Raw genomic sequence first — 9,638 nt, 5'->3', positions numbered from 1 at the left:
GTGGGCGTGTCCTGAGGCCGCTCCGCCCCAGCAGGCCTGCGGCTCCATCATCTCGCGGTAACTCTTCCGAGACCACGCTTGTGCCGCGTGGCGGGCCGCGGTGGATTAAGGCACACGCGAACTGTGAGCCCTTTGCAATTGTGGGCATGGAAGACCTACACCCTAACTGGCATCCTGAGTGTGGCAAGACATTAACTAACCCACAGGGAACACATGAAACATCTCACTTCATTAGGCAGGCTAGGCTGATGGTACCGAATATTGCAGATCCAGAGGGGAGAGAGAGGGACCAGCGCTGCTGCAGGGGCGAGGGCAGCAGCGGTGGCTTGGGGGGATTGGGGCAGGGCGGGTGCGTGGGACTAAAGTCGACTGGTACGTTGCTGAGGTGGAATTCATCTGCACCAGAAGCTGAAACCCTGCAAGGATTCTGTCAGGTCTAGGCAAATACATACTCCGAGTTCCATGGTTCCTCCCTGAGGATGCTGTACTCACAGGGGCATTCCAAAGGACTTCTCATCCTGTGCCCTGGGCACACGGGAGGCCTACCGCCATGGTCGCCAATGCAGTGATCCGTGTGCACTGCTTTGCTGGTGCAGAGGCTCTCACAAGTGCAGTGGTGGCCGTGTGCCTGCTAGCGGGGCTCTGGAAGCCAGGGCCTTGGCATCCGACTCCAGGGCTGCCGTGCGCAGCTAACCCTGCTGGGTAGCTGAGCCCCAGTGTGAGTGTGACAGGCTAAGGGCCCTGTGGGGCCCCCCAGGAACCCTGTTCCACATAGGTGTAGGATGTGGTTCTCAGCAGGGCAAGGCCCGCAGGCCTCTCCTGGAGTTGCCCCCAGAGTTGACGGGTGCCGGGGGGGTGGGGTGGGAGGCACAGGCTTTGCTCTGTTGGAGCCTCAAGGAGGGCACCATGTTAAGGCTGGAGGCTGTGCAGGAGAGGATGGTCTGTGCACAGAGCAGGAAGACAACCCTGCGGGGAGAGGCATGCTAGTGGGGGATGACATCATTGCAGAGATGGAGGTGGTGGCCAAGGAGGAAGGCCAATGTGGAGCCACAGCAGGAGGACCTGCAGGCACAGCCTGGCCCTGGCCCCAGTACGCCCCGGCCAGCAACAGACTCGCTGGACGTCCTTCACTTGGAGCTCGGCTACGTGAATGTCCCAGGCCACAGGGCATCCCCGGCTTCTGGGCCAGAGCCATATCCTTGCAGCTGCCAATTCGGGATGGTTGGCAGCAGGGGATGGGCGCGGAGCTCCCGGGAGCGGAGGTGGGGGGAAACAAGGTGGTAGGCACTGGCGGTCAGCCAGGATTCAGGGCATGGGGGACAACAAGGGGAACTGAGAACAGGCTCATGCAGATAGGAGGGCAGCTTAATTGCATGTGCCCTGAGGGCATGTGGTAGGGACAGGAAGCCAAGCACAGCACTCACCAGGGAGAATAGCAGCGCCAAGGACCCATCATAACAGCAGAAAGTTGAAGGATACGATTCACCGGGAAAGTCCCTGGAGGAAGGGGAGTCTGCATGCCCATGCCAGCCACGGAACTTCCCTGCTCCCCTTGCCTGTGTCCAGCAAGCTTACCCCAGAAACACAAGGTGCTCAAGACTCGGTGTCACTGTGCACGGGGCTGCTGTCCTATGCAAGGCAGGCACTATCTCCCCAGACACAATTTCTTCCCTCTGCCAGCGCTGCACCCAAAGATGTTTAGGCCCTGAGTATATATAAGCTCCCTTGAAACCACTCGAGCTCCACGGGGAGAGCCAGGCACAGCCCCGTAGCTACTTCTACCCACAGCGGTTGCCTGGGGTGGACACGTGCACCCCTCAGGGAGACCAGGAGAAGGAGAGACCGCACACCCAGACAGCAGCAGAGCCTGTCCAGCACCCAGCACAGGAGGGCCTCCTGCAGCTCAGAAACGCCGAGCAAGTAGTCGCCTCACACAACAACACCCCGCCCCCAACCCCCTGCCCACTTCTTCAGTGCCAGTCCCTGGTCAGAGCAGGTTGTCTGGGCCTGCCTCCACCCACCACCAAGACCACCACAGCTCTGATGGTGCCCTCCACGCCAGACAGAGACAGAGGACCTGGAAGGGAAGGTGCCCTGCCCCACACTCTCCGTGCTCTTGCAAAGTTGCAGGGTGTTTCCTTGCACGCCCACCCAATCATCCGGCGGCTCCTTGACCAGAGGCAGATTGTGCGGCACACCGAGATGTTGGCCGGGATCACAAATGATGATGAAGTCCTGCTAAGCTACGTACGTGATGGATTTGCAGGTCAGGCTAAGGAGCCTGAGTCTTCGGGAGGGGTCTGGTGTCTGGGTCAGGTTGAGGTACCCCTGGGACCCGGGGGTGTCTCAATGAGAGAGTTGGGAAGGAGAAACACATGCTTCACCCCAGCTAACAGGTCACCTCACCCCAGCTACATGAAATGCTCCTTTGAGTACGTCCTCTTTCTCCTTCTTGGCCAGGTAAGGGGAGGAAAGCAACTCTTCCGGGTACCGGCAGCAGGATGAAGTTTTCCTTTTATCACAGTCTCTACTTCCACAATGAAGTGATCATTCAGGAGTACTGCCTTGGCATCCTCGGTAAGGAGCGCCTCCCAGCATGGTAGGGGAGCTGGTGTGTGGGAGGGTAGGTCTGGCATGAACCTTCCTGACTCCTCTCTCTGCAGGATACGGGATGTCTCATTCCACTGCAGTCTAGTGGTTGTGGGATCATGAAGGTCAAGCCTCCAGCTGCAGGCCGTACAGCTCCTACCTGACCTTCTTCAGCTGGTTGGCTGACCATGACTGCCCAGGTTCTGGCAGGATTGCTGAGGTGAGCGCCAGGTAGGGCATCATGGGAAAGGATCTTGCTGGTCATTCCTTGGCCTCTGGGGAACTGGCTTTGAGCCATGACCTGAACTAACCTGTACCCACTTCTGCAGGCCCCCAGATCATCAGCCAGAACCTGTAGCTCAATCCCCTGCAGTACTTCTCCAGGGAGGGAGGCCATTAGAGAGTGAACAGAGAGGAGGCCAGGTGAACAGTCTAGGGCTGGGGACTGAGAGACCTTTGATTCCTGGAGTTGTGCCCCACATGGAGAATCCAAGCCTCAGGGAGGTGACTGCAGTGAGCGATCCCACGCCATCCATGGGCTGGCGGAGAAATGGCCATCAAAGAACTTTAACACCCACATTTTGGGATTGGGGCACCTTCAGCCGCCTAAGAGGAATAAGTGTCTAAGGTCAGTGGGTGAGAAGCAAGGCTCAAGTGGTAGCTGTCTCATCATCCCTCACCGGCTGAGGCCTGAGGCCGGCTACCACTTGGGGCTCAGTTTGGGCTCAACCAGGGCCCTCTCACCCTCCACGCAGATATCCTCCCAAGGCCCCTCTCTACGTCCTCCCTGATGGGCTGTCCCAGGCCCATCATTTTTTGTTACAATGATCCCAGGCTTCCCTGAGATGCTTTCTGCCCTCCGCCATCATCACTCACACTGCGCTGCCCCACCCTGCCCCACCAGACAAGAGAGGCCACTACTCAGGGAATCTGGAAAACCACACTGGGCTCACAGAGGAGGAAATGTGAAGAGATGGCAAAATGAATGAGCCCTTCATTGTGTGTCCAGGGAGGAAACCTGGCTGAGAATTAAGGCCCACCTGAGTAGTGGTGTGGACACCGAGTGTTACTTATCATGATGAAGATCTGCTTTGTCACATCCCCTAATATTAATGTGGAAGTTATTTTCTTGGAATAGTGAAACAATGAGGACAAAGAAATAGTGTTTGTTCAGATTTGTATAGAAATACTGCAGACGCATCCATTTTCCATTACAATTCTTATGTGAGACTTGAAGTGTTTATTGAGTTTTAAGATACATTTTGATTGTTCTGCCCCTGGGAAATTTTATGATCATGTTTGTATGATCATAGATTCTATGTAGAGACATAGAATCCGGAAAAGTTTTGAGTGACTTTCAGCTTCTTTTACAGTACTTACTTGTAAATTTTGAATTTTTTCCCTTATAGTTCTCTTCAGTTTATTATTTTAATTTTATATGTAAGGTGATAAATTTGTTTTGTTATTTGCCTTTTGTGGAAACTTCGTTTTAAAGTACTTTTTTTCTGTTAGATATGTGAGTTTATGAGTACAAAATTTTTATTTTCATTTTTTAGTTTTTTTGGGGTGTCTGTGTGTGTTTTGAGGAGCATTGCTCTGCCACCCAGCCTGGAGTGAAGTGGTAGGATCTTGGCTCAACCTCAACCTCTGCCTCCTGGCTTCAAGCCATTACCCTGCCTCAGCCTTCTGAGGAGCTGGGATTACCGGTGCATGCCACCATGCCCAGCTAATTTTTGTATTTTTCATCAAGACTGGGTTTCACCATATTTGCCAGGCTGGTCTCCAACTCCTGACCTCAAGTGATTCACCCACTTCTGCCTGCCAAACTGCTGGGTTTACATCGTGAGCCACCATGCCCGGCCTCATTTATTTGTTTACGTATTTGAAGCCTTGTTCTATTCTCTTCATGTACACATATTTTAGAGTGATTGAAAGAATGTATTTTATTTATTTAGTCAATAGTAGAATTTTAAAAGTAATGTTTTTATTCAGTAAATACAGTATTGTGAATAGGTTAAACCTTGTATAGTATTGTCATTCTCTCTTTCATAAATTCTTCAAGAACTCTAATACCATTTCCGGCCCCCGCCCCCTGAAGAGCACATGCAGATAACCCCAAAGATATGCTCCCACACAGTTTATGCAGTTTATTCACTTTAAAGCAATGCACTAAAAATGTCTAGATGGGTCCAAAAAATTGTGGAAGTGAGTGGGTATGAAAATATAATTTGAAGGCCAGGTGGGGTGGCTCACGCCTGTAATCCCCACACTTTGGGAGGCCAAGCCTGGTGGATTACCAGATGTCAGAAGTTCAAGACCAACCTGGTCAACATGGTGAAACCCCATCTCTACTAAATATTCAAAAATTAGCTGGGTGTGGTGGCATGTTCCTGTAATCCTAGCTATTTGGGAGGCTGAGGCAGGAGAATCGGTTGAACCGGAGAGGCGGAGGTTGCAGTGAGCCAAGATCATGCCACTGCACTACAGCCTGGGTCACAAGAGCAAAGATTTGTCTCCACCACCCCACACCCCCCAAAGAAAGCCTCAAATTTACATAAACATAATTATCTTAAAAGCCAGCATAATTTTAATTTCACTGTAGTCATCAGTTTCAGACATTGTTTATTTTGGAGAAGTGATTACAGAAATTAGAAAAATCGAGGCCTGATGAGAATATTTAAATTAACCACACTCCAGAAGCTCAAAGCTGAAAAACTAAGGTATTTCTGATATAACAGCCCAAATTCTGCATTTCCTCTCTATTGGACAGTGTAATATTGCACATATGAAAAAAAATGCAGTGTTAAATAAAAAGTAGTGGAATTAAGAGGAGTCATTGCTTAGTGAATTAAAACAACACACAAATTGAGAAGAAAAGACAGTGATAGAAAATATATTGTCTATTGATTTAATTCACAATAATTTTCACTTTTGTCTATTAGCATTAAATAGTACCATTAACATAATATCATTTTGATATTGTCTTCTAACATGTAAGTGGTTTTTATTTTGTATATTTGGAAACCTGATCAAAGATTCTTTAGACATTTCATTTTTTCCCAAATTTCCTAGCTAATATCTAGCTAAATGCTAGTTGCCCGAATGCCTCTCACTAAGTCGTTTGTCTTTTCTCATTAATTTTAATACGAACTTGGTGTGTATTTTGTTGGCATCTTTACTAAATCTACAGGTGTTGAAGTTGTGCAGATTTTAGTCATGGATCCTCTTGAGTTTTCTCAAGGCTAAAACACCCTTTCTATGCTTACCATTAAGAAATTCCCAACTTCAGGCCAGATCTTTGTTCTACCTTCACACTTGGCATATCCAACTGCATGCCTTACATCTCCACATACCAAACCAGACCTTCATTTCATCCCCAAAACATGTTTCCTCCTACAGTATTCCACTATTTCAGAAATTCACAGCACCAAATACTCTGTATTTCAAGCTAGAAATGTAGAGGATGATCCTTGAGGCAGCCGCTTCTCAATGAGTCTCCATCATTCATATCCAACTCTTCACAGGTTGTATGTCCCCTCTGAGAATTACATAGTCTTAGTAAATAAAGACTGGCTCATAAGTTACCTTCAATCATCCACTGTTTTTTCTTCAATTCACGCCAGTTTCTCTAGAGAACAGCTGGAGCTCTGCAATGTCAATGTTGGAGTAAGAATCATTCTCTGTCAGTATTACTATGTTATTTATCACAAGAGAAATGTTCCTTTAAAATGCCCACACAAACCTATAGTAACACAGTTAAATGATGTCTTTGTTTTACGGAAAAGTACAAGCCAAATAAAATAAATTGTTATTATATGATCTTTATAACTACAAACACAGGTACTAGATATTTTAGACCCCACTTCATACATCTGAAATTTGAGTCTCAAAATCATCATCTTTTCTTAAAGTCTAATTTCAAATTACAAAACTACCTCTTTCCACAATATCATGCTATCTCCCTTTAAGATCCAGCTGGGGAATCATTAAGAATAAGAAATGTAATTTTCTTCAACATCTCCTAGCTGAGCCAAAATCTAAATTTTCTGTGGAGATCTTGTTATGTGCAATTTCGCCAAAACTTTTACAGCTTTAACCACAGTTATGCTTCAGTGGCCTACCTGTTCATGCAATACCTGCACACCTGCTTTAACATAGAAAAATTTGGAAGTTAATATGAGCATTAACTCTTATCATTATAGACAATGACATCTGAAGATGCTTTCCAATCTTCCTCGAATATATGAAATTCAAAATGTCAGTACAATATCCAAATTGTCAACGTAATCTTAGTAGCAGTGGATCATTTACAGAAGATAATTTTGCCTCAGTGGTCAAATATTTTTGTTAAATACTGCTATCTTATAGTCATGTATAGCATAACTGACACAGGTGTATAGCTAGAAATAGGATCCTAAAGAAAATGTTCAGAAATAGGTTTCATATATTTTGCTGAATTTCAAACTAACAGGTTAATTAGTACTCTGAAGTGTTGGATAGTTGGAGTAGTATTTACCAAGAATGAAAAAGAAGATAGGGGCATACAAATTGAGAATCCTGAAGTTAGGAAAAGATAAAGTATTTGTTCCTGACTCCTGGCTTGATGTTCTTCACGTGTGGCTTATTTTTGGGGTCTTTTTTTTGGTTCTGTTTTTGGTTTTGTTGTTTTTGTTGTTGTTGTTTTACTGTATCTTATTTGTCAGACCAGAGTTTCACAAGCATCCTCAAATAATTACGTGGGTCATAAAATATATACCCAGATACTTCTAGCTATTTTCCTTCAAAATCCCGGTCCAATCATCTGAAATGAGACCTGTAGAACCAGTAATTCTCACAAGTATGCTAAGTGGTTATTACTAAAACAACAGTTCTGAAATACTTAGAAAACCATCCAGGAGCTAGGTAATCAACATTTAATAATTGGTTCTTACTGTAAGAGTAAAGGATTTTATTGAAATGACTATTTAAATGCAAGTTCTATTAAAAAGATAGAATTGAGCACTTCAGTGCTTTTTTTTTTTTTTTTTTTTGAGACGGAGTCTCGCTGGACTGCGGACTGCAGTGGCGCAATCTCGGCTCACTGCAAGCTCCGCTTCCCGGGTTCACGCCATTCTTCTGCCTCAGCCTCCCGAGTAGCTGGGACTACAGGCGCCCGCCACCGCGCCCGGCTAATTTTTTGTATTTTTAGTAGAGACGGGGTTTCACCATGTTAGCCAGGATGGTCTCGATCTCCTGACCTCATGATCCACCCGCCTCGGCCTCCCAAAGTGCTGGGATTACAGGCGTGAGCCACCGCGCCCGGCCCAGTGCTTTCTAATTAGTATCTTTAAAGTATGTTTTGCTAATATCTTACTTAGTAGTAATATCTTACTTACTAGTATATAAGTAATATAGTATAATAAGTAATATCTTACTTATTAGTATCTGAGAACAGATACTAATTTTCTAATTAGTATCTTTAAAGTATGTTTACATGTGAGGTGTTAAATTTGTTTTCTTATTTGCCCCTTCCAGAACTTTCATTTTCAAGGATTTTTTTTTTCTGTTAGATATGGGAGTTAGCCTGTGAGCACTTTTTCTAATACAGATTTTTTTTATTCATTAGTTTTTGGGGCGTATGTGTGTGTTTGTTTGTTTCCAGATGGAGTCTCACTCCGTCATCCAGGCTGGAGTGAAGTGGCAAAATCTTGGCTCACTGAAACCTCTCCCTCCAGCTTCACACGATTCCCCTGCCTTAGCCTTCCGAGGAGCTGGGATTACAGGCATATGCCACTATGTCCTGCTAATGTTTGTATTTTTAGTCGAGACTAGTTTCACCATATTTGCCAGGCTGGATTCGTACTCCTGTGATCCGCCTGCACCAGCCTCCCAAAATGCTGGGCTTCCAGGTGTGAGCCACCATGCCCAGGCTCATTTGTTTATGTATTTTAATCATTGTTCTATTTTCTTCATGTACACGTATTTTAGAATAGAATGGTCCAAGTGGGGCTTAGTCATCTTCGGGATTCTGCCCAAGCTCAGACTGTCAGCACTGACCATGCCATACCCTACCTAGCTCCCAAGGTACCTCTAGGACCTAGGTTGATCTTCCTGAAGCAGCCACTACATTTTCGACCCCTAGTCTTTCCTCTATGCTCGGAGGAAAGTCTGGAACAGGAGAAATTTATACAACTATATGATTGTTGGCTACCTAATTGATTCCTTATGAAGGTTGGGTAATGAAGAAGACACTGGGATGAAAGAGAAGCATGTTTGGAAAGAAAATAGTTTCCTCTCTTGAATAATAAAAAACGTACACATATTTAGAATAGAATGCTACTGTGGGTTTTGTAACAAAGAAACTAATAATACCAAGAGATGGTAACCATAATTTAAGAAACTTTTTCTAAAATATACATAACATAAAATATCTTTACCTTCAGATGATGTTTTTACTGTTAGGATATTCATCAGAAAAGAAAACATTGAAAAGATAAATTAAAATATTATGCAGACACAAACAGCTCTATATTGGTATGGTATAGTTTATGAACTAAGCAGTTCATAAGTGTGAGTATAGAATGTATAGACTTTAATTTGTTAAAATTAATATAAAGCACTTAAAAAGTGGCTTATAATAAGCATTTTTTTAAGAACTGTTCTTTACAATTCTGATATGCACAATTTATAGACAAACTCAGAAAAATAAGTTTGGGTTGCATTGTGTAGATATTTAAACCTATTTTCTTATGTTACATTTTTATTTTGCCGCAAAATTCATAGAATGTAATAGATGGGGGAGAATAACTTAATGGACACTATAGTCTGTCAGTTAATAAAATATTTTTTTCAGGAATATAAATGGTATTTATTTTACTAGAGCTCTGTTAATTAAGGATGTTATTTATTATACACAAACTGAGGACAGAGAAACCGCCTATGTGTGTATATTGTTTCTGTTAATTTTGGAAGTTTGGGTCAAATCACTACATTTATCTCATAAGCAAATAAAATAAGCTGTTCAAATATTATATTACAACCAAAAAGGGAAGATACAAGATTAAGATGAC

The 9,638-nt window shown here is 44.6% G+C and overlaps 1 pseudogene; it reads left to right on the top strand.

Moving 5' to 3' along the window:
* Nucleotides 551-8,797, top strand: TSPY21P (testis specific protein Y-linked 21, pseudogene; annotated as a pseudogene).

Source organism: Homo sapiens, chromosome Y, assembly GCF_000001405.40.
Source record: "Homo sapiens chromosome Y, GRCh38.p14 Primary Assembly".
Classification (NCBI taxonomy): Eukaryota; Metazoa; Chordata; class Mammalia; order Primates; family Hominidae; genus Homo; species Homo sapiens.
Note: the sequence above shows the minus strand (reverse complement) of the source record. Positions and strands in the feature narration are given on the sequence as shown.